Raw genomic sequence first — 24772 nt, 5'->3', positions numbered from 1 at the left:
CTTTTCTTTTCTTTTCTTTCTTTTTTTTTGAGATGGAGTTTCGCTCTTGTCGCCCAGGCTGGAGTGCAATGATGCCATTTCAGCTCACTGCAACCTCTGCCTCCTGGGTTCAAGCGATTCTCCTGCCTCAGCCTCCCAACTAGCTGGGATTACAGGCGCTCGTCACCACGCCCGGCTAATTTTGTATTTTCAGTAGAGACGGGGTTTCACCATGTTGCCCAGGCTGGTCTCAAACTCCTGACCTCAGGTGATCTGCCCATCTCAACCTCCCAAAGTGCTGGGATTACAGGCGTGAGTTACCACTCCCGGCCTTAATTTATTTCAAAACGGTTTCTTTTAGTTTTATTTTCATTTTATTTTAAATAGGCAACCCACTCACACAGTTAAAATTCTAAGGGCACAGGAGGGTATGTAAAATACAGTTTCTTTCACAGACTTGTTTCCTAGCTGCTTCCCCTCTCAAAGGCAACCCATGTGGCCCAGGGACATTAGATTACGCCAGTAAAAACATGCACGTGCGCGTGCATGTGTGTGTGTCACTAGACCTTTTATTTTTGTTTTGTTTGTCAAATGATCCTTTATTGAAATATTTTCCTTTGTGCTTAACTAGCTGGGCATTCCACAGCACCACTGTTGATGTCATCTATGATGTCATGAGGGTGGCGGCCATCAACATTGCAGCCCACAGACTGGGCAGTCCCCAGGATCTCTTTAATGGTTCCAGTGAGATCTCTGGCTAAAGATCGGTGCCGCATCCGTGGAGCAATGTTGACGATCTCATCAAAAGTGATATTCCCACTGTGTTTAATGTTTTTCTGTTTCTTTCTGTCTCTTGGTTCCTTAAGGGCTTTGATGATCAGGGCAGAAGCAGAAGGCACCACCTCAATCTGGGCCTGTCTGTTCTCAATGGTCAGTTTCACTGTAATCCTCAGGCCCTTCCAGTCACCCGTTGCCTTGGCAATGTCATCACCAACCTTTTTTGGAGACAGGTCCAGGGGGCCGATCTTGGGGCCCAGCGCAGACGTGGCACTGACTTCACCCCCAGTGCACCTCAGGTATACGACTTTGATCTCGCTGGGGTTGAACTTCGGCCACATGGTGGAGGCGGCTGGTGTTGGATGAACACAGATTCTGGACCGCCGAAGAAAGTTGCACCTTGGCCTCCTCTGAGCTGAGAGCCGAAAAGCCCGCTAGACCCCTTTTAAAAATTCAAAGGTTGGCTGGGTGGGGTGGCTTACGCCTGTAATCCCAGCACTTTGGTAGGCAGAAGTGGGCAGATCACAAGGTCAGGAGTTCAAGACCAGCCTGGCCAATATGGTGAAACCCCATGTCTACTAAAAATACAAAAAAATTAGCAGGGTGTGGTGGCACATGCCTGTAATCCAGCTACTTGGGAGGCTGAGGCAAGAGAATTGCTTGAACCCGGGAGGAAGAGGTTGCAGTGAGCCAAGATCACGCCACTGCACTCCAGCCTGGGCGACAGGGCGAGACTGTCTCAAAAAAAAAAAAAATAAAAATAAAAATAAAAATAGAAAAAAATAAAAATAAAAAAATTCAAAGTTTGGCCCATGGCACACAGTGTATGAACCTTACTTTTCTCACCTAGTGTGTCTTGTAGATCATTCTATATCAGTATGTAAAGAACATCCTAGATTATATTTCAGATGAATATTATTCTACTCTAAAGATAGACCTCAATTTATATAGCCAGGACCCTACTGCTGGACTTTTAGGTTGTTTAATAAATGTAGCCTAATTTTATTTATTTATTTATTTTTTGAAACGGAGTCTCGCTCTGTCACCCAGGCTGGAGTGCAGTGGCACGATCTCTGCTCACTGCAAGCTCCGCCTCCCGGGTTCACACCATTCTCTTGCCTCAGCCTCCCGAGTAGCTGGGACTACAGACGCCCGCCACCACGCCCGGCTAATTTTTTTGTATTTTTAGTAGAGACGGGGTTTCACCGTGTTAGCCAGGATGGTCTCGATCTCCTGAACTCGTGATCCGCCCGCCTCGGCCTCCCAAAGTGCTGGGATTACAGACGTGAGCCACCGCGCCTAGCAATAAATGTAGCCTAATTTTAGAATCTTAGAAAATAGAAGGTCATTTAACCCCAACTCCCATCCACCCTGTCTAGGTTTTTTTTTTTTTTTTTTTTTGGTAGAGATGAGGTCTTGCTTTGTTGCCCAGGCTCATCTTGAACTCCTGGCTTCAAGCTATCCTCCTGCCTCAGCCTCCCTCCCAAAGTGCTGGGATGTGCCCAACCCTGCCAAGGAGTTCTTTCATGGTGTCTGATTGCATGCCTGAGACCCAGCTGCAGTGTCGCCTCCTCTGGGAAGCTCCACCTTCCTCTCCCTCTCATCACCCTTGCACATACCTTAGCCAGAGCCCTAATCACATGATATTATTTAGGCAAAAGCGTGATAACTTTGCTTTTGTATCTTCTCAGCCCTGCCCCTATTGCAGAGCATAGTAGGTACAGAACCAATGTGAATTGACAGTCCTTGAGAGGGGATGCCTCCAAATTCTGCTGCTTGAACACTTCCAGTAACAGGGATCTCACTTCTTGAAAAGCTCATTCTGCCTGTGAAAGGCCGTATCAGACAGTCCTTTGATGGAGCAAAGTCTGTTTCCCATTGGCTTTTCCCTCTGGGTTCTAGTGCATCTTCTAAACACAAATGTAATCCCTCTTCCAGATATTTAAGATAACCTCCTTTCTCTAAGCCAGATACCCATCCCCCTAACCTCCCCTCCCCCCTTTCCTTTGGGCTCTGGTTCCAGATCCTGTGCCTTCTAGCATTTTCCTCTAGACACTTTTTGATTTGTAATATGATTCGTTTAAAAGTGATCTCTGTCCGGGCGCGGTGGGATTCATGCCTGTAATCCCAGCACTTTGGGAAGCCAAGGTGGGCAGATCACTTGAAGTCAGGAGTTCGAGACCAGCCTGGCCAATGTGGCGAAACCCTGTCTACTGAAAATACAAAAATTAGCCAGATGTGGTGGCACATGCCTGTCATTTCAGCTACTTGGGAGGTTGAGGCACGAGAATCACTTTAATCCAAGAGGCGGAGGTTGCAGTGAACCAAGATCACTCCACTGCACTCCAGCCTGGGTGACGGAGTAAGACTCTGTCTCAAAAGAAAAAAAAAAAAAGTGTTCTATTACACATCTATTAGAATAGCTACAATTAAAAAGACTGACCACACCAAGTATTGACCAGGATGTGGAGCATTAAAACTCTCCAGCACTGCTGGTGGGAGTATGAAATGGAACAGGCACTTTGGAACAGTTGGCAGTTTCCTAAAAAATAGTTAAAGATATATCTTTCATGTGACCTAGCCATTCCACTCCAAAATATTTACTCAAGATAAATGAAAGCATATGTCCATTCTAAGGCATATGCTCCTAGCAGCTTTATTTGAAATAGCCAATGTCCATCAACAGTGAATACATCGACTATAGTATATCCATGCCATAGAATTTGAGCAAAACAAAACCTGCTGATCCACTTGAACAGGTATTGATACGATGACAATGAACAATATTGATATATCTCAAAATAATTATGCTGAGTAAAGAAGCCAGATGAAAATTAACAAGTCCATACTGTATGATTTCATTTATATGAAATTATAAAAACTGTAAACTAGGCCTCACATCTGTAATCCCAGCACCTTGGGAGGTCGATGTGGGAGGATTGCTTGAGCCCAGGAGTTCAAGACCAGCAATCATAGTGAGACCTTGTCTCTCTCTCTCTTTTTTTTTTTGAGACAGAGTTTCACTCTGTGTCTCCCAGGCTGGAGTGCAGTGGTGTGACCTTGGCTCACTGCAACCTCCACCTCCCAGGTTTAAGTGATTCTCCTGCCTCAGCCTGCTGAGCAGCTGGGATTACAGGCGTGCACCACCACGCCCAGCTAATTTTTGTATTTTTAGTAGAGATGGGGTTTTGCCATGTTGGCCAGGCTGATCTCAAACTTCTGACCTCAGGTGATCTACCCGCCTCGGCCTCCCAGTGTGCTGGGATTACAGGTATGAGCCACCATGCCCAACCCAGACCTTGTCTTTACAAAAAAAAAAAAAAGATTAGCCGGGCATCATGGTGTGCACCTGTAGTCCCAGCTACTCAAGAGGCTGCAGTGGGAGGATCACTGGAGCCCGGGAATTGTGGCTGCAGTGAGTCGTGATTATACCATTGTCCTCCAGCCTGGGCAACAGAATGACACCCTGTCTCAAAAAAAAAAAAAAAAAAATTCTGATCTTAAAGAGTTGTGATCTTTCAATGAATGGTATATAAAGGAAATAAACTTAGCATTGCAATTGGTCTATCATGGCACTCAATGAAAAAAAGCTATTTTTATAGCTTCATCACTCTGGCCTGTCACAGTATTTTAAAATCTTCATTCTGCGTGTGGTAGACCTCTCATCTTGCAACATCTTTATATTTGATTAGCAGACCTACATGCTTTTTATTAGAATTTCTAGCACAAACACTGAAATGGACCAGGTCAAAACCTGCCCCATGGCACGTCACCATTGAGTCTCCTCCAGACCCTTGGGTTAGGAGAAATGAGTTCAGTATCACATTTTAAAGTGCGACAGCTAATATGCCAGCTAATGTAGGAGATGTCAGAGGAGTGTGGGATGAGCTTGAAAGGGGAGCAGCAGAGGAGTGTGGGATGAGCTTGAAAGGGGAGCAACAGCTGTAGTAAACAGCATGGTGGTTCCTCAAAAACTTAAAGAGAGTTACCATATGATCCAACAATTCAGTTTCTGGTTATATACCTCAAAGAATTGAAAGCAAGAACGGCCGGGTGCGGTGGCTCACGCCTGTAATCCCAGCACTTTGGGAGGCCGAGGCGGGTGGATCATGAGGTCAGGAGATTGAGACCACCGTGAAACCCCGTCTCTACTAAAAATACAAAAAAAAAAAAAAAAAAAAATTAGCCAGGAGCGGTGACGGGCGCCTGTAGTCCCAACTACTCGGGAGGCTGAGGCAGGAGAATGGCGTGAACCCGGAGGGGGAGCTTGCAGTGAGCCGAGATTACGCCACTGCACTCCAGCCTGGGCGACAGCGTGACTCCGTCTCAAAAAAAAAAAAAAAAAGCAGGGACACAAACAGATATTCATATGCTCATGTTAATAGCAGCATCATTCACGATAATCAAATGGTAGAAGCAACTCAAGTGTCCATCAACAGATGAATGGATCAACAAAATATGGCATATACACATAATGGAATAATATTCAGCTTAAAGTAGGAATTTGCATAATGGAATATTATTCAGCTTAAAATAGAAACTTGGTATGTTTTTTGTTTGTTTGTTTGTTTTGAGATGGAGTCTTGCTCTGTTGCCCAGGCTGGAGTGCAGTGGCACGATCTTTGTTCACTGCAGCTTCCACCTCCCGGGTTCAAGTGATTCTCATGCCTCAACCTCCCAAGTAGCTGGGACTACAGGCACCCACCACCACGCCCAACTAATTTTTGTATTTTTAGTGGAGAGGGGATTTCATCATGTTGGCCAGGCTGGTCTCGAACTCCTGACCTCAAGCAACCTGCCTGTCTTGGCCTCCCAAAGTGCTAGGATTACAGGCGTGAGCCACCACACCTGGAAAGCAGAAACAGAACTTCCGAACTTTGAAGATATTATGTTAAGTGAAATAAGTCAGACACAAAAGGACAAAAACATACTGTATGATTCCACTTATATGAGGCGCATACCCATAGAAGCAGAAAGTAGAATGGTGTCTGCCAGAGGCTGGGCCGGAGGAAACAGGGAATGGGGAGTTACAGTTTAATGGGTGTAGAATTTCAGTTTGGGAAGCTTAAATGTTCTGGAGATGAATGGTGGCAATAGTTGCACAACAATGTGGATGCTGCGGAACTGTACACCAAAAAATGATATCAATGGCATATTTTATATTATGTGTATTTTATCATGATTCTTTCTTTCTTTCTTTCTTTTTTGAGACACAGTTTCGCTCTGGTTGCCCAGGCTGGAGTGCCATGGCGCGATCTCAGCTCACTGCAACCTCCGCCTCCCAGGTTCAAGTGATTCTCTTGCCTCAGCCTCCTGAGTAGCTAGGATTACAGGAAACTGCCACCACACCCAGCTAATTTTTTTGTATTTTTACTAGAGATGGGGTTTCACCATGCTGGCCAGGCTGGTCTCGAACTCCTGACCTCAGGTGATCCACCCCCCACCCTTGGCCTCCCAAAGTGCTGGGATTACAGGAGTGAGCCACCACACCCAGCTTATCATGATTTTAAAAGGGGGAGAGAAGCATCATCCTGCTTAGTAGTAGGGAGGGCCTGGCTATGGGTTGGGTGGACAGCTGAGTTGGTATGAGTTGGAGAACAGGCTCACCTTGTCACAACTGGGAGGTGACAGGCGAGGAGGCTAAGCATGCCCTGCTAAGCCTTGAAGTCCAGATTGAGAAATTTGGGTTTGAGATCCTGAGTCACTTCTTGGGTCAAGTCTTTTTCTCCTGGTTAAAAAACAATTTCCTTGGGGTGGAGTAATCCAGGAGCTCTAAAGGTAGCAGGTTTTTGTTTCTTTGTTTGTTTTTGAGACAGAGTCTTGCTCTGTCGCCAGGCTGGAGTGCAGTGGCGCAGTCTTGGCTCATTGCAACCTCCACCTCCTGGGTTTAAGCCATTCTCCTGCCTTAGCCTCCCAAGTAGCTAGGATTACAGACATGTGCCACCATGCCTGGCTAATTTTTGTATTTTTAGTAGAGACAGGGTTTCACCATGTTGGCCAGGCTGGTCTTGAACTCCTGACCTTGTGATCTGCCCGCCTCGGCCTCCCAAAGTGCTGGGATTACAGGCGTGAGCCACCGCGCCCAGCCCAAGGTAGCTGGTTAAATTAATGCGGATTGGTTTAGTCATCAGCCATCGGTAGGGGTTTTATCATCAGAGAGTGGGGACAGATGGCATAGGACATTGTTCAGGAGTCTGACAGCTCTGGGCTTGTGTTGTGATTTCTCCATTCCCTAGCAGTGTGCCCTAAACTAGTGAGTGCCACTGTTTCCTCATCTGTAAACTGGGGATAATCACGACCTTGTGTAACAGGGTTAAAAGGAGAAAGAGTTACATACTAAGTATTTGCCACTTCTGTCTTCTTTCTCCTGCCAAGGAGGAAGGGTGGCAGCTGGCGTGTTTGTATGCTGTTTCAAGAGAGGTGAGGCAGAGCAAAATCCAGAGTAGATCAAATTTCTTTGAATAAGAAAAGATGAAGGCAGGGCGTGGTGGCTCACACCTGTAATCCCAGCAGTTTGGGAGGCTGAGGCGGGCAGATCAGTTGAGGTCAGGAGTTCAAGACCAGCCTGGTCTGGGCGGATCAGTTGAGGTCAGGAGTTCAAGACCAGCCTGGCCAACATGGTGAAACCCCATCTCTACTAAAAATACAAAAACGAGCCAGGCACGGTGGTGCACACTGGTAGTCCCAGCTATTTGGGAGGCTGAGGCAAGAGAATTGCTTGAACCCAGGAGGCAGAGGTTGTGGTAAGCCGAGATCACACCACTGCACTCCAGCCTGAGTGACAGAGCAAGAAGACAGCAACAGAACTAGGTTTGGGGTGTGGGAGGAGAGAAGCTGAACTGCTGTGCTGAGGACTGGGACTTGGGCAGGGATAGAAGCCCCTTGTGTTTTGTGAAAAAATTTCCTCTCTGTGCTTCCCCAAGAGACTCTTAGGAGAGACTTACTATGGTGCTTTCTAAGCAGCGTTGGAATCTCAGCCTTTTTTGAATGCTGGGACGAGCCTCCAGGTGGTCCAGTACATCTGGGTTCCATTTGCAAAATGTCTGACACATTTTAGGAGCTTAACAAAATGCTCAGTTATTCTACAAGAAGACAGATCTGGGAGCTGGAGAGATGAGGGCTGGGTATCTTCAAAGAGCAGACAAAACACCTTCCTGAGACACCAGGCCACTAGGTTAGGTTAAAGGAGTGTTAAGTCCCATGCCTTTCCTCTCTCTAGAGCTGCACTGTTCGGTGTGGTAGCCAATAGCCACAAATATTTGCATTGTATTATTTTATCTTATTTTTTTGAGACAGGGGTCTTACTCTGTCGCCCAGGCTGGAATGCAGTGGCACCATCTCAGCTCACTGTGACCTCTTCCTCCTGAGTTCAAGCAATTCCATGCCTCAGCCTCTTAAGTAGCTGGGATTACGGGTGCACACCACCACACCTGGCTAATTTTTGTATTTCTTAGTGGAGACGAGGTTTTGCCATGTTGGTCAGGCTGGTCTTGAACTCCTGACCTCAGGTGATCTGCCTTCCTCGGCCTCCTAAAGTGCTGAGATTATAGCCGTGAGCCACCATGCCCAGCTATAATTAAAAATGAAAAATAAAAATAAAAAATATGGTTCTCGTTCACACTTAGCCATACATCAAGTGCCCAATAGCCACATGTTGATAGTGGCCACCACATTGCACAAAGCAGATATAGAATCTTTCCATCAGCATGGAAGGTTCTGTTGGACAGCACTGTGCTAGAAAGATGAGGAAAAAGTCCAAGTAAGTCGGTTTGTTTATACCCTGAATTGTTCCTCAAAGGATCTGAGGCAGGCGAGGACAGCCTGAGGCCATCAGACCAGAGCCCTGTGGCTGGAGCGGGGGAAGGCTGGCGTGTGGGCTGAACCCAGTCAGGAGTGGAGCCACAGAGAGAAGCAAGGCCCCAGTGGGCTGAGCTCCAGGACCCAGATAGGAAATGGGAGGAAGGTGGGGGTAGGGTTGTTGTGGGAGTGAGTGTCAAAGGACAAGGCCATGTGCAATCAGATGTTGAGCAATGAGTCTGCTGCGGGAAGAGGCTCCCCCGTTCCTCTTAGCAGCGTATGGTTCTCTGACCTGTTTAATCAAGGAGTCTCCTGTGCCCTGCTGTTCTCAAGTACAGATTCCAAATTCCAGCTAATCAGATGCAATTACAGGATATTGTTGGGTGCAAGTTCTGACTTGCAGCACATCGGGTAGGATGCCAGGCCTGGGTCCCTGCATGCCGCCTGGCTGGTATGTTTTCAGCAGCCGTCCTGGAGGCAGTGGGGCCAGGAGACATCCTTCCTGGTGGCGGTGCTGAGAGTGGAGAGGGTGAAGGGAACCAGGCCTGGGTGCTATCCTGCAGCACTTTCAAAGCAAAGATCTGCTCCAGGGATGGATTCTTCTTGAGGGCAAGTCAGAGTTTAAAAAATATTCATTAAAAGTGACTTTGTGTTAAACTCATTTCTGGGGATTAAAGAAAAGCCAAACTTATATTAAGATCATTTTAATTTAAGCTTTGTTGGGAAGTTAGAAGATATCGCAGGGTGGGTTGGAGTGCCAAGGGAGCAGCTTCTTATTGCTTAATTTGAGATAATGTATTCCCGTAAGTTTTATTTTTACTTTTATTTTGAGGTATAACAGACTCACAGCAAAGCACACTCATCTTTACTGTACAGCTTGATAAATTTTTACATATGTATGTACCCATGCAATCTCCACCCAGATCAGAATACGGAACATTTCCAGCACCCTAAAATGTTCCCTCACCTCCCTCCTGTCCATCAGTCTCGCCCCCGACAGGTAATCGCTGTTCTGATCTACCACCAACAATCAGCTTTGCCTGTTCTTGAACTTCATATAAATGGAATCATACGGTGGGTGCCCATTTGTTCCCTGGCTTCTTTTGCTCATAAGCCTGTGAATGATTTTCTTTCTTTCTTTCTTTCTTTTTTTTGAGACAGGGTCTCGCTTTGTTACCCAGGCTGGAGTGCAGTGGCATGATCACAGCTCTCTTCAGCCTCAACCTCCCAGGCTCAAGCGATCTCACCTCAGCCTCCCGAGCAACTGGGACTACAGGTGCGCACCACCACGCCCAGTTAACTTTTTTTTTTTTTTTGTAGAGACAGGGTCTCACTATGTTACCCAGGCCAATCTTGAAATCCTGGGCTCGAGCGATCCTTCTGCCTCGGCCCCTCAAAGTGCAGGGATCACAGGCGTGAGCCAACGCACCCAGCCAGCCTGTGAACTTTTTTAGGAGAAATTTTTATAGCTACAGATTCATAGTCCTTTACCTGAAACCCTTGGGGCCAGATAGGTTTCCGAATTCAGATTTTTTCACCGTTTAGAAAAAAGCCATGGTGCGCACACTGTATATTATGAAATACCCACCGCAGGATCTGGGGCAGCACCTGGTAAACACATAAATATTTTTAAGCAAAGTCCATGAATATTCACACACTAAATGGTGTAAATAAAGGCTGTAAATAGCCTTGCGTCAGTTGGAGGCCATTTTGTTGCCAAATAAGTTCATGTCAGGTTAAGTTCTGCAGTCAAATGTGTTATGATAAAACTTGTTTTATCATATGGTTTTCAGAAGTTCAGGGATTTTGAAATTGAGAATAAGGGATGGTGGACCTGTTAGTTTTGGACAAGCCTTTGGCTGTGTGGGAGACAAATCCCGAGTAGTCTCCCACGCAGAGGGAAGGTTGCAGAAACCCGCTGCCTCACAGGGGTATGGACTGCACTGTCCACCAGGACAGCCTCTCCCAACCACAGCTCTCAGAAGGTCCAGACGTGAACTCCTGACACCGAAGGCACATCTTTGCTGGGTGGGTATTTTCCTGGGATCTCTACCTTTGCTTAGATTTTCAAAAGAAACCTAATACTTAAATACGGTCTAGAGCCCCAGCTAGAAAGAGTCCTTGAGATCAAAGAATTGCTTAGCTAGAGCCCTCAGTTATAGACCTGAGTTTGTTTCTAAGGGACATGAGTCTCAATTAATTGACGTTTCAGTGATTGGCAGGGGAGGGGAGTGAGAAGGGGCAGACATTGGAGATTGAGAGTGTGGAGAAAGATGGGGCAAGAGAAGTTAGGATGAGTGTGAGGGGAGCCAAGAAGAGAATACACACAGGTCTCCATGCAGGACTGAGCACGGGAGAGATCATCCCAGGGGCTGGGGGTTATGTCTTCAGTTTAGGAGCCTGCATGGAGCATCTACTATGTGCAAGGCGCTGGGGATGCAAAGATGAATAAGAGCTGCTCCCTGACAGTGATACCTATTTATGACTGTATTGCTCCTCTCTGAAGAGCTCTCTTTTCATTTCCTCCCTCCCTTCTCCACCCCACCTCCCCACCAAAGAAAACACACACACAGCCAGGAGTGGCCTTGAGGTTCAGGCCACAGGCTCCAGACCTTTTGGGCTCTTTCCTCCACTCCCAATCAAAGTGTCCGGGTCCGGGGGATCACGTGAGGCCAGGAGTTTGAGACCAGCCTGGGCAACATTGCGAGACCCCATCTCTACAAAAAATTTTTTCTTTCTTTCTTTCTTTTTTTTTTTTTGAGACAGAGTTTCCCTCTTGTTGCCCAGGCTGGAATGCAATGGCACGATCTTGGCTCACTGCAACCTCTGCCTCCCAGGTTCAAGTGATTCTCCTGCCTCAGCCTCCCGAGTAGCTGGCATTACAGGCATGCAAGATCACGCTTGGCTAATTTTGTATTTTTAGTAGAGATGGGGTTTCTCCATGTTGGTCAGGCTGGTCTTGAACTCCTGACCTCAAGTGATCTGCTCGCCTCTGCCTCCTAAAGTGCTGGGATTATAGGCGTAAGCCACCTTGCCCAGCACAAAAATTTAAAAATTAGCTGGTGTGGAGGTAGCACACCTATAGTTCCACCTACTCAGGAGGCTGAGGCGGGAGGATGGCTTGAGCCCAGGAGGTTGAGGCTGCAGTGAGCTATGATCATGCCTCTGCATTCCAGCATGGGTAGAGCAAGACCCTGTTTTTGTTGTTGTTGTTGTTGTTTTCAGACGGATTTTTGCTCTGTCGCCCAGGCTGGAGTGCAGAGGCTCAATCTTGGCCCACCACAACCTCCTCCTCCTGGGTTCAAGCAATTCTCCTGCCTCAGCCTCCTGAGTAGCTAGGATTACAGGCACGGGACACCACATCCAGCTAAGTTTTGTATTTTTAGTAGAGACGGGGTTTCACCATGTTGGCCAGGCAGGCCTCGAACTCCCGATCTCAGGTGATTCACTTGCCTCGGCCTCCCAAAGTGCTTGGATTACAGGTGTGAGCCACTGCGCCCAGCCGACCCTGTCTCTTAAAAAAAATAAAAAATAAAAAACCTGGGTCCTACATCCCATGTTGACAAAGCCCCTTGTAAAGGAAGGAATGCATTCTTTGCTGACAGTAATGTGCAGTTCATCAGGTGATAATGTTGATTAGAGGCATGGAGTGGTGTCACTGGAGTCTAGTTTCTCCCCATTACTTAGTTGTGCGACCTTGGGCAAGTCTCCTGCCCTGAGCCTTAGTTTCCTTATCTGTAGAATGAACTTAAGTCTATACTCCCTGCTTCACAAGGGTGTTGTGAGGATCAAAGGGAAGAATATGGAGGAAGACATAAGTGGTAAGTCTTGCCCATGTCTGAGCTATGCTTGTGATGTGCTTACTGTATTCCCACTTAAACAGGGAAGCTTCATTCTGCACTTTAGCACCTCAGGGATTGTACAGATTCCGTCCCCCTGCTAGGCACCTAGGGGCGCTACAGGGCTGTATGGCCTCATAGGTGACCCAGGAACAGATTCTCTGCACCCCAAATGTGGTTTCACTCTCTGGTTGCAATGGTTCTTTGGAAAATAATAGTTGTTCATTACAGTGTTGTTTATGATAGGCCAAGAAAAGTTATTTTTCACTACAATCCCCAAGCCCAGTGTAGTACAAGTGCTCAAGAAATGGATAAAGACTCACAGACCACACTTCCCATCCTCCTCAATGCCTCCTTTTGTGCTAATGAGGTAGACCCCTTCCCTAGCATGCAAGGATTAAATAAGGAGCTGGGGCAAGAGCCATGTGTAGCCTAGAACCTGAGAGTTTAAAATGGTCTTCAACATGAGCAACAGTCCTATTCCTTGGAATGTTTCTGTACAACAAAGATGGAAGTATGTGGCCGGGCGCAGTGTCTCATGCCTGTAATCCCAGCACTTTCGGAGGCCAAGGCAGGCAGATCACAAAGTCAAGAGATTGAGACCATCCTGGCCAACATGGTGAAACCCTGTCTCTACTAAAAATATAAAAAATTAGCCGGGCGTGGTGGTGGGCGCCTGCGGTCCCAGCTACTCGGGAAGCTGAGGCAGGAGAATGGCTTGAACCCCAGAAGTGAAGATTGCAGTGCACCAAGAGCGCGTCACCGCATTCCAACCTCGTGACAGAGCGAGACTCCGTCTCAAAAAAAAAAAAAGATGGAAGTATGAGAATGCTCATCATAACAGGGTTATTTATAATAGCAGTAAGTTGAAAACAACCATAATAATGTTCATCCATTGAGGGATGCTGGAATAAACCATGGCATACGCATGCAATTGGCTTCTCTGCAGCCATGATGAATAATGCATTTCCTACATGATGTTCCATAGACTCAAGCCCCAAGAGGATCCCTCAAGGGATTTCATGGTGAAATGTGTTTAAGAAGTGCCAGTCTCTGCTTGATGATTCAGAACACACATTAGTAAATTAGAGACTCCAAGAAGTCCTTCAGCAAAGCAGCCCATTTAAGTTGGCATAAGCCTATGCATCTCAAACAGTTCGTGGAAGACTCCCAATTAATAGCAAAATGGTCCTAGTGTTCTGTGGAGCCAATTTGGGAAATACCTGTGTAGCAGACACAACTGGAAAGAGTTGAGTGAAAAATGCAGATTTTGAGAGTCTTTGCAGCATGATTTAAACAAATAAACTTATGTATATTTGTATTTGAAAAACGTCTAGCAGGATGCATGCCAGAACTTTAATAGTAGTTGAGGCCATGGGATTATAGGTGATTTTTATTTTCTTCTTTGTTTTCGTCTTTTAGGTTATTTGGGATCTCTAAATTGCCTTTCATCACTGTATATAACATTTTATTTTATTTTTTCAAGAGATGGGGTCTCACTCTGTTGCCCATGCTGGAGTTCAGTGGCTATTCACAGGCACAGTCATAGCACCATTGCAGCCTGGAACTCTTGGACTCAAGCAATCTTCCTGCCCTAGCCTCCCAAGTAGCTGGGATTACAGGCACGTGCCACCACGCCCGGCTCTATATAACTTTTAAAATTAGTAAAAAAAGAAAAAAAAAAGCCAGCCGTCAAGAAAAGGATCCAGGGACAGCTGAAGACACTTTCATAGTGCTGCTGCACCTAGAGGAGCTGGGGCCTCCAGCTCCAAGAAGAAGCTAGGTCCTTATTTAGGCAGAGACATCCCGAGAGCCCACATTCCAGTGGGAATCCTTCCCAGAGCATTCCTCCTCCAGCACCGCCGCGGCCAGCTGCAGCCTGGCTGCTCCCTCACAGGGCCTCCCTCTCCTTTGGTAGCAGCCGCTGCTGGCCCGGGCCAAGCTGCACATCTGGACCTCATTAAGAGCCGCCAGCACCAAAGCCGGCACATCTGGCCGCCGCGAGACAGAGTGCAAGGCAGGGCAGCAAAGGGGCAGGGGCATGTCAGGACAGGGCTGCCCATGCGGGCTCCAAGGCAGCCAGGGCTCCTCTGAGACATCTGGAAGTGGGAAGGTGGTGGGCGGCTGGCCGCAGACGGTGTGCTGCTTGCTGGCGGGGCTGGCTCTGGCCCCTCTGGATGCAGCAGAGTCGTGCCCTGGCTGGCAGAGGCCTTTTAGGCTGAAGGGGGCAGGTCTGGCAGAGAGACAGGTACTCAGGACTCCAAGCACAGTGCTCTTGCTCTTGGGGAGGGCTGGAACTGGGAGCAGTCTCAGGACCATGTTGAAAAGAAGGACTAGACAGGAATGGGGTTGCCTAGCTCTGTGGTGACCGAGCTGTGTGGCTGCAGGTCAGGAGGCAGGTTTTCTACATCGGGAAGGAGAATTCCCATGTATGAAGTTAGAGGGGTGGAAGTGTAATGAGGCACCTTGGAAACAGAGCTTGCCTGCTGCCTGCTGCCTCCTGCCTTTTTCCTACACGAGGACATGCACAGGTCCCTGGCTCTACCCCTGTGGCACCATTATTTTTCCCTTTGGTGCCTGTGAATCTAAGGCTTTGTCAGCCCTGCCAATTTTTTCTTTGCGACAACAGCAGATGCTCCTAAGATCCTTTCCAAAGTCAGGCAGAGATCAAAGAAACCAACTAGTCGATCGAATGCAAGAATCTACCAGCCCTTCCCCTTTATCCTACAGCCTTAGACCTCAAATTGGTCCCACATGAATGGTACCCACCAGATTCTCCTGCCTCTGCTCTCCATCTTTAGCCCCTGCCCACCACAGCAAGGGGGTCCACGTACCCACACTAGTGCCCTCTGAAGAGGCCACAGCAAGAAAATTCTCAGATCTAGTGGGTGCCTGCCACTGAGGTAGAAGTGAAGGGACTATTGCAGAAAGTAAAAGGGCTTCACAGTAAACAGATGGGTCCAAAACCCAGCTACTTAACTTCTTTGAGCACCAGTTTCCTCATCAATAAGATGAGGATACCTCTTACACAAAGAACTATTTTAGGTTCTGTAATAGAAATATAATAGAGTCGGGCTGGGCATGGTGGCTCACATGTGTAATCCCAGCATTTTGGGAGGCTGAGGTGGGCAGATCACCTGAGGTCAGGAGTTTGAGACCAGGCTGGCCAACATGGTGAAACCCCGTCTCTACTAAAAATACGAAAATTAGCCAGGCAGGGTGGTGAGCGCCTGTAATCACAGCTACTCAAGAGGCTGAGGCAGGAGAATCGCTCGAACCCAGGAGGCAGAGGTTGCAGTGAGCTGAGATCATGCCAGCCTGGGTGACAGAGTGAGACTCCGTCTCAAAAAAAAAAAAAAAAAAAAAGAAAAAAAAAGAAATATAATAGAGTTACATGTTTCTCCAATAGAAATGTAATGTAATTATATTTGTAATGGGGGGGTATTTTACACTTTTCATTCTGGAATGATTTTAGATTTACAGAAAAGCTACAAAGATAGTACAGTGGGTTCCAGTAAACCCTTCACCCGCTTCTCCTAAGGTTGACATCTTGCATAACCAAGGCACATTTGCCAAAACTGAGAAATTAACATTGGCACAATACTATTAATTAAACTACAGACTTTTTTCAGATTTCACCAGATTTTCCAACACATATGTGATTTAAATTTTTCTATTAGGCACACTTAAAAAAGTAAAGAGAAACAAATGATATTAATTTTAATAATATACTTTATTTAACCAAAAATATCCAAACTATTGTCACATCAGCATTAATCAATATGAAAAACATAATGAATGAGATATTTCACATTTGTTCTCTTTTTTTGTTGTTGTTTTTTTGAGATGGAGTCTCAGTCTGTTGCCCAGGCTGGAGTGCAATGGCGCGGTCTCAGCTCACTACGACCTCCACCTCCTGGGTTCAAGTGATTCTCCTGCCTCAGCCTCCCAAGTAGCTGGGATTACAGGTGCCCGCCACCACACCCAGCTAATTTTTGTATTTTTAGTAGAGATGGAGTTTCACCATGTTGGCCAGGCTGGTCTCAAATGCCTGACCTCAGATGATCCACCTACCTCGGCCTCCCAAAGTGCTGGCATTACAGGCATAAGCCACCATACCCAGCCCACATTCTCTTTTTTAATGGTAAGTCTTCTAAACCAGTGTGGATTTTAAGCTCACAGCGCATCCCAATTTGGACACTAAATTTTCCCTGGACATACTTGATGTGCAGTTAGGCATTCACAAAATGTAGAGTGGAAACAGTAGCTTCACATACCCAAGTTGTTCCAAACATACTTAAAAGTTTTAAAAGTCTTCTGATAATGGAATTATCAGTTTTTAAATTTAAAATAAAATTTTAAAAATGCATTTCCGGCCGGGCGCAGCGGTTCATGCCTGTAATCCCAACACTTTGGGAGGCCGAGGCAGGTGGATCACCTGAGGTCGGGAGTTTGAGACCACCCTGACCAACATGGAGAAACCCTGTCTCTACTAAAAATACAAAATTAGCCCGGGCATGGTGGCACATGCCTGTAATCCCAGCTACTCGGGAGGCTGAGGCGGGAGAATCGCTTGAACCTGGGAGGCGGAGGTTGCGGTGAGCCGAGATTGTGCCATTGCACTCCAGCCTGGGCAACAAGAGCAAAACTCTGTCTCAAAAAAAAAAAAAATGTATTTCCTCAGTTGTACTAGTGCTTGATAGTCACATATGGCTAGTGACTGCCATATTAGACAGCCCGGGTTTAGAGGATTAAATGAGATGATGTATGGGGAACTGACCAGCACATGGTAGGTGTTCAGTAGATGGTGTCTATTGTTGTTACTGAAGCCTAGAGTTGCTTCTGATGAAATCCAATTTCTAACGTAATCTTTCATGCGTATCCACTGCCAGGTATAATGGAAGGATGCAGAGAAAGATCTTGGTCAGGGAAGAGAAAAAATGGAGGAGGGATGAGATGAAGACACCTCGTACTTCTGTAGGCCTTTCATGGGCTGGGCTGCCACTCAGGAGCACCTTCACTCTCCTCCATTCAATGCTCCTGACCGTCTTCCTTCAGGGCAGGCACTGTTACTTACCCCTGTGCACAGATAGAAAACCGGGGCTCTGAGAGTTGAAGCAATGGGAAGGCAGGGAGCCTTGAGTTCCCACCCAGCCACTGCTGGTCTCATTCTGAGGTATGGATCCTCATCCCCTCTTGGGGCCTCAGTTTCCCCAAAGGGGTTAAGTAAATGAGAGTGAGGTTGGTTTGGATTACTGGATCTGTCTCTGAAATTTTAGGATTATTCAAACAGGGGACATTTGGCTGGCCCTCATCTTGCAAAATTCACCCAAAGCTGATTTGTAAATAGGTAAATAGATGAGAGCGAGAGTGAGAGAGAGAGAGAAAGTGAGAGAGAGGGAGCGCACATGCACTCGTTTTTCGATTCACAGTTGGGGGTCGCGGCTGCCATGTAGTTTGTAATATTTGTGTCCACAGCAGGTTGGGACACCCTCTTCCAGTCTTGAGGTGCCTAGGAAACCTAATTAATTATGGAATAATGGAGCGCAGCTTGTGCTAATATAGAACCAGGGCCGAGGGAGTTAGGTGTCTCAGGGGATATTTATAACAAGCTGTGGCAGTCTGGTGAGTCACTGCTCTGCTCTCCAAGAGGACACACCTGCCTCCAAGAAGAGGAGGCCGCCACTCTCCAGTCAGGCCCCTCTTCCCGGGCAGGGCTGGAGACACACACACTGTTGGGCAATCCTCTCCACTTCTTTAGTCTCCCGTGGGATACCAATCATTACACTCCATCCCTCCTCCATTTCAGCAGAATTTCCCAGCAACCTCCCACTTCCCAGACTGAGGCTGTGCTGTCCACTGATGATGCTACAGACCATTTGTACCCTGGGAACATCTCATTCCAGAGAGATTTCTTCTGGGAAGGTTTCCTGCGGTCAAGCCAAGCTATGCAGCTAGGCTCTTGGGCAGCTTCCATCCAGGGCCAATTCTTCCTGGACATAGAAAGGCAAAGTCTGGAGAGGGGAAGGGGACAAGCATTTGTTGAGCCCTTTTTCTGTGCTCTTAGGCAGAACACTTGGTATCCTGTAAGCTCACTAAAGTGTCACAATAAGCTGTGTATTGGGTTCCATCATCCATGTTTAACAGATACAGAAACTGAGGCTTAGGGGAAAGCAGCTAAAAGGAATATACAGCTAGAACGTGCCAGAGTCAGGGTTCTAACCCAGGCCTGCCTAACACCATCCTAAGCTATAGGACTAGTGGTACAAGACACTTTACACACACACACTCACTTAATTCTCAAAAAATTGAGTTGAGGGCAAAGTCAAACAGAAAAGGACATATAACCTCCCAACTAATAGAGGGGAAAATTCAATAGCAAAAAGAAAAACATAAAAAACAACAACAAAAAAAAACCCTAATACCAAAAGAAAGGGAAAAAAGGAGAGAAAAACGAACATAGGACAGATGAAATCAATAGCAAGCACAGAGTAGATTTAATTCCATATATATCTGTAATTACATTAAATATAAATGGACTAAATGCTCCTATTAAAATATAAAGATTGTCAGAATGGATAAAGAACAAATCCCAACTCTGGGGTTTACAAGAGATACACCCAAAGCATAAGGGTACAGGAAGGTTGAGGGGAGAGCCGAAGAGTGAATCAGGGGTTTTTGAGGCTGCAGGACACACTCTGTCTTCCAGATCTCAGCCCTCTGACTTGTCCCTTTCTTGCCTTGGCCTCAGTCATCCTCAGTGACTTCTGGCCTAGCAGTGTTGTTCAATGGAGGGCACTCAGGCACTGGCCTTAGATGAATCAACCATGTGACCCTGGACTTTCTTGGGCAACCTGAGCCTTCATGTCCTCCTCTGTAAAATAGAACAAGGATTCATACCTCACAGGGCTGCTGTAAGAATTAGAGACCAGAAAAAAAAAAAAAAAGAACATGTTCATGGCATCTGGCACACAAAATTTGAATTATGTTAATTTTTTGCTATAATACATTATAATTTTACATGTGCCTATGTAGTAGATAAGGCCCTATGGGCTGCCCCTGACAGTCTGATAGAACATGAGAGCCTTTTTCATGTGTGTTTTTGGTGAGGGCCGTGTGTATGTGAGGTGCATCCACTCTTCCTCCCAGGCTCAGAAATTCAAGTAGGGCCGGGGGATGGGGTAACTCTAGGATGCCCTCTTCCTGTTTGTTTGCAAGCCTGACAAATCTGTTGCTCTCTGTCTTTGATTAGGTCATACTCCTGTTCAGACCCTAGCCTTGGTGACTTCCTACTGTTCGTGTGGCAGGGTCCCTCCTGTCTCAAAGGCCTCTGATGGCCTGCCTGCCTGCCTGCCTGCCTTCCTTCCTTCCTTCCTTCCTTCCTTCCTTCCTTCCTTCCTTCCCTTTTTTTTCAGACTGAGTTTCGCTCTTATTGCCCAGGCTGGAGTACAATGGCGTGATCTTGGTCACTGCAACCTCTGACTCCTGGCTTTAAGCGATTCTCCTGCCTCAGCCTCCCGAGTAGCTGGGATTACAGGCATGTGCCACCACGCCTGGCTAATTTTATATTTTTAGTAGAGATGGGGTTTGTCCATATTGGTCAGGCTGGTCTCGAACTCCCGACCTCAGGTGATCTGCCCGCCTTGGCCTCCCAAAGTGCTGGGATTACAGGCGTGAGCCACCGCACCTGGCCTGCTGATGGCATGCTTTCTGCCCCCTCCTTCTACATGTGGACTTGCCCCTGCAGGCAAACCACTCAGCCCTTCCTGCATCCCCTGCTAAGCTTGGTGGGATCTCCTTACCATCCCCATCGAAGGCTGCCCCTCCTCCTTTGTCATTCAGCTTCACACTCCCTGATCTGCAATTCTAAAAACCAAAAGCTCTAAAAAAGCAGACTTCTTTTCCCCCCTACAAGTTTGATATAAACTCATTTGGCCACAAACCTGACCTGACCTGGTGTGAGGTTATTTAAAAATCTTTACGTTGTCTCTCACTGCTCAGGCATTTTCCTGCAGAAATTTGCTGTGTTTAATTAAGGGCACTGCCCAGACCCTGCTGGAGTGTTATGTAGTGTCAGCACATGCATCGGGTGAACTTTCTGAAACCGCAAAGCTCTGGCCCCAGGGCTTTGGGTGAGGGTGTGAGCCTGCCACTGTGACAGCCTGAGGGCCCTTCCTGTGCTGTGCCTTCTGTACTTATCTCCCCTCCTATTCACAGCTCTGCAAGGTGGGCATCAGCCACTCCATTGCACCAATGAGGACACTGAATCCCAAGGAATCCAGCTGGGAAAGTGGCTGAGCCAAGTCCTTCTGAGTGCTCAGCCTCCTGCACTTTCTCTTTTTTTATATCAAGCTCCTCTCCTTCCCTCAAGGGCCAGCCCTCTGCTCCCACACCCTTCTCTATCCTGTTGATGCTCCTGGGACTTTCATGTATTAGAATGCCCAATTTCATTCATTTAACATTATTTATTGCGGGCTTCTCACACTCCAATGTGCACATAAACGTCTTACAGTAATGATCCTAATTCACCTGCTCTGGGTCTGACATTCTGCCTCCCTAATAAGCTTCCAGGTCCTGTTGGACCCCACTTTGGGGAATAAGGGGTAAGGGAACAGGTAAGCATACAGAGTTTTTGTTTTGTTTTTGTTTTTGTTTTTGTTTTTTTGAGACGGAGTCTCTCTCTGTCGCCCAGGCTGTTGTACAGTGGCGCAACCTCCACTCACTGCAACCTCCGCCTCCCAGGTTCAAGCGATTCTCCTGCCCCAGCCTCCCGAGTAGCTGGGATTGCAGGTGAGTGCCTCCACACCCGGCTAATTTTTGCATTTTTAGTAGAGACAGGGTTTCACCATATTGGTCAGGCTGGTCTTGAACTTCTGACCTCGTGATCCACCCACCTCGGCCTCCCAAAGTGCTGGGATTACAGGCGTGAGTCACCGTGCCCGGCCTTGTTTTTGTTTTGAGTCAGGGTCTCACTCTGTTGCCCAGGCTGGAGGGGAGTGGTGCGGTCATGGCTCAGTGCAGCCTTGACCTCCCAGGCTCAAGTGATCCTCCCACCTCAGCTTCCTGAGAAGCTGGGACTACAGGCACGTGCCATCATGGCTGGCTAGTTGTTATATTTTTTTGTAGAGACGGGGTCTCACTATGTTGCCTAGGGTAGTCTCAAACTCCTGGCCTCCAACAATCCTCCCACCCCAGCCTCCCAAAGTGCTGGGATTACAGATGTGAACCACCACACCCTGATAGCATACAGAATTGAATAATAAACACAACTCAGTGGTGGCAGAGCCAGGATTTGAACCCAGCAAGCCTGGCTTCAAAATCTGTGCTGTTAACTACTATGCAGCACACAAGTTGGAAGGTTGGACCCTGTCCGTGGAGTGTGGTGAAGCAATCACTGCAAGCACAGCTGGCGATGCCAGAGCACTGAGGGGAAGGCTGGGCTCCTTTTGACAACACAGTTAATTTTCTTTTTTTCTTTTTTCTTTTTGACATGGAGCCTTGCTCTGTCACCTGGGCTGGAGTGCAGTGGTGCCATCTCAGCTCAGTGCAACCTCCGCTTCCCAGGTTCAAGCGATTCTTGTGCCTCGGCCTCCCAAGTAGCTGGGATTACAGGCACGTGCCACTACACCCAGCTAATTTTTGTATTTTTAGTAGAGACAAGGTTTCACCATGTTGGCCAGGCTGGTCTTGAAATCCTGAACTCAGGTAATCCACCCACCTCGGCCTCCCAAAGTGCTGGGATTACAGGTGTGAGCCACCATGCCTGGCCTCAGCTTGCAGTTTCTCATAGCTGTTCCTAAGCACGCTTCCAGTGAACTGTGGACTAAGAAACCAACTCACCAAGCTCCTTAGAATTACATATAAAGTAAAGGTTTATAGGTACAGAGAGAGGGAACAGCAGTTTCTTGAAGACTCGGATGCTTCAGCTTTTATGCATGGAATTTATAAGGTTCAGTTTGGTTGCTCGTTTACATATCTTTGCTAATTTCCTGGTTCATGGCTATGTTTTTGAGAGTTGAGGGGGCTGGATAAGCATCCTTTCTCTCTGTGATTTTCAAACTGGAATGTGATCAGACTCCTAGGGGAGCTCTTCGAATCTGCAGAGAATCCTAATCCATACTCGGAGGGTGGGATTTGGACCTCTACATTTTGCGAAACTGCATTTGGAACCATCAGCACTTATTGAGCACCTACCGTATGCTCACAAGTGCTGGACACTATGGACAGAAAACCTATGCAGCCATCATGCATTATGTTACTACCAAGCCCTCATGCATTACCACATTTGAGTTGCAGTAGACAAGTTGAAACACATGAAGCAACTAAGGCCAGTTCACCTTCAAACAGAGAAGGCTAGCGGCAGTGGTAGCACAGCACAGTGAAGGCCTCTTCTGGGAGGAAAGGGAGACCACTCAGTGTGATGAAAACAGCCTGGACATGAGGTCAGCAAACCTGGTTCTGAGTTTCTCCTCTCTAATCTACCTGCCAATGGACTCATATCCTCTCTGAACATCAGTTTCTTCATCTATTACATGAGGATAAGGTGTTCTCCCTCCCACGTTTGTTGTGATGAGAGAATGCCTGGGAAAGCACCATGTAAACTGTGAAGTGCTGTTTGCACATGTGCAGTGAGGGTCCTGCAGGCTGCAGGGAGCACAGACCCACTCTGGTTGCTCCAGTGATGAGGCTTTATTGTAAAGCTAAGCAGCAGGGTGGGAAGCCGGGGAGGGCCTCAGCAGACAAAGAGCAGCCCTCCTGGAGGAGAAGAACCTCTTTCTGGAGTCCTTGGAGGCTCAGGCCAAGGCCAATTATGGATCCTTTCTGCCTGATGTCTTCTGCTACCTCCTGGCTTCCACCTCCTGGCCTCTGCCCACTACCTTCTCCTATGTAGCCCTTGCCTGTGGCCCACTTTGTGGTCCTCTGGTTTTCAGGCAGCCCCGTGAGAGACAGTCTGATGGGCTTGGTAAGTCACTGTCCAGTGTAGAAGGTCTCCACTGGGCAGTCTTTTTGCTGGGCTACCTCTCCCGCATATCCAGTCCATAAATGTCTGCCTTCGTGTCAGGCCAAACTTTGCCCTGGCACTTGTGGCCAGGGTGTGGGCTTTTATGTCCCAGCGGTGCACAGGAGCGCCCGTGGGGGCTGTGGGCACAGCTCACTCTCAGAGGCAACAGTGCAGGCTGTCGATCCGTCACAGAATGTGAGCGATTTTTATAGAGGGAAGATGGCACTCATGCAGTTAATCTACCCAGCAAACAGCACCTGCTTGTCACATCTCACGTGCCACTCAGTGAGGGCCAGCTGCAGGCCACGTTGTACAATCCCGGAAGGTTGTGGTGCCCTCGGTCTCCACGTTCTTCGGGTTTCCCTGGTGGATGACACTGTCTTCTCACTGCCCCTCTGCTCCCAGGCACTGGCATTCCCGTGTGTGCTCCCCAGTCCCGTGACTAAAACCTGCCCTTAGCATTTCTATAGAGGATATTCACTGCAGCATTGGACACAGTAGAGAAAGATTAGGACCAGCTTACATGTCCAGAGTGAGGGGAGTGGTTACCTATGATTATGTATATTTCTATGACTGTGCATGTATGAGGGGACTTCATAAAGTTTGTGAAAAAATGGGATTAAAAGATACAAATAAAAAACATAAACTTTTTTCTTAACATAAGCTCCATCGAGTTCAAAATACTTCTGTAAGTGATGATACCAGCCATGTAGTCCATCCCTAAAGAACTGAGCGTCCTGGGAGTTTAAGTGTGTCAATGCAGTCTTTTTAATGTTATTAACTGAAGAAAAATGGCTCCCCTTTAAATAGTTTTAAATTTATTTTATTTATTTATTTGAGATAGAGTCTCACTCTGTTGCCCAGGCTGGAGTGCAGTGGAGTGATCTCGGCTCACTGCAACCTCCGCCTCCCAGGTTCAAGCTCGTGCCTCAGCCTCCCGAGTAGATGGGATTACAGGAAGCTGCCACCATGCCCAGCTAATTTTTGTATTTTTAGTGGAGATGGAGTTTCATCATGTAGGCCAGGCTGGTCTCAAACTCCTAACCTCAAGTGATCTGCCTGCCTCAGCCTCCCAAAGTACTGGTATTACAGGTGTGAGCACTTTGGGAGGCTGAGGCCGGCAGATCACCTGAGGCCAGGAGTTCGAGACCAGGCTGGTCAACATGAAACCCAGTCCCAGTCTCTACTAAAAATACAAAAAATTAGCTGGGTGTAATGGAGGGTGCCTGTAATCCTAGCTACTCGGGAGGCTGAGGCAGGAGAATCGTTTGAACCCAGGAGGCGGAGGTTGCAGTGAGCTGAGATTGTGCCGCTACACTCCAACCTGGGCTACAGAGCGAAACTGTCTCCAAAAAAAAAAAAAAGGAAACAAGTTATA

General features: G+C 47.3%; 1 pseudogene, besides 7 other annotated features; it reads right to left on the bottom strand.

Annotated features, from left to right (window-relative positions):
- Positions 564-1182, bottom strand: RPL12P2 (ribosomal protein L12 pseudogene 2; annotated as a pseudogene).
- Positions 8326-8826: an enhancer, noted in NCBI's record as "H3K4me1 hESC enhancer chr6:37051359-37051859 (GRCh37/hg19 assembly coordinates)". NCBI's record gives its function as "activates a minimal SCP1, AML or CMV promoter by ChIP-STARR-seq in naive H9 embryonic stem cells {active_cell/tissue: H9 hESC(naive)}" and the evidence as "EXISTENCE:reporter gene assay evidence [ECO:0000049][PMID:30033119]".
- Positions 14456-14984: an enhancer, noted in NCBI's record as "H3K27ac-H3K4me1 hESC enhancer chr6:37045201-37045729 (GRCh37/hg19 assembly coordinates)". NCBI's record gives its function as "activates a minimal SCP1, AML or CMV promoter by ChIP-STARR-seq in primed H9 embryonic stem cells {active_cell/tissue: H9 hESC(primed)}" and the evidence as "EXISTENCE:reporter gene assay evidence [ECO:0000049][PMID:30033119]".
- Positions 19482-19776: a silencer, noted in NCBI's record as "tiled region #8119; K562 Repressive non-DNase unmatched - State 7:EnhWF". NCBI's record gives its function as "represses a minimal TATA promoter and a strong SV40 promoter by Sharpr-MPRA in K562 cells {active_cell/tissue: K562}" and the evidence as "EXISTENCE:reporter gene assay evidence [ECO:0000049][PMID:27701403]".
- Positions 20022-20316: a silencer, noted in NCBI's record as "tiled region #8589; K562 Repressive non-DNase unmatched - State 7:EnhWF". NCBI's record gives its function as "represses a minimal TATA promoter and a strong SV40 promoter by Sharpr-MPRA in K562 cells {active_cell/tissue: K562}" and the evidence as "EXISTENCE:reporter gene assay evidence [ECO:0000049][PMID:27701403]".
- Positions 20545-20614: a silencer, noted in NCBI's record as "silent region_17126". NCBI's record gives its function as "represses an Ori minimal core promoter by ATAC-STARR-seq in GM12878 lymphoblastoid cells {active_cell/tissue: GM12878}" and the evidence as "EXISTENCE:reporter gene assay evidence [ECO:0000049][PMID:35858748]".
- Positions 21269-21318: a silencer, noted in NCBI's record as "silent region_17125". NCBI's record gives its function as "represses an Ori minimal core promoter by ATAC-STARR-seq in GM12878 lymphoblastoid cells {active_cell/tissue: GM12878}" and the evidence as "EXISTENCE:reporter gene assay evidence [ECO:0000049][PMID:35858748]".
- Positions 21369-21418: a silencer, noted in NCBI's record as "silent region_17124". NCBI's record gives its function as "represses an Ori minimal core promoter by ATAC-STARR-seq in GM12878 lymphoblastoid cells {active_cell/tissue: GM12878}" and the evidence as "EXISTENCE:reporter gene assay evidence [ECO:0000049][PMID:35858748]".

Source organism: Homo sapiens, chromosome 6, assembly GCF_000001405.40.
Source record: "Homo sapiens chromosome 6, GRCh38.p14 Primary Assembly".
Classification (NCBI taxonomy): domain Eukaryota; kingdom Metazoa; phylum Chordata; class Mammalia; order Primates; family Hominidae; genus Homo; species Homo sapiens.
Note: the sequence above shows the minus strand (reverse complement) of the source record. Positions and strands in the feature narration are given on the sequence as shown.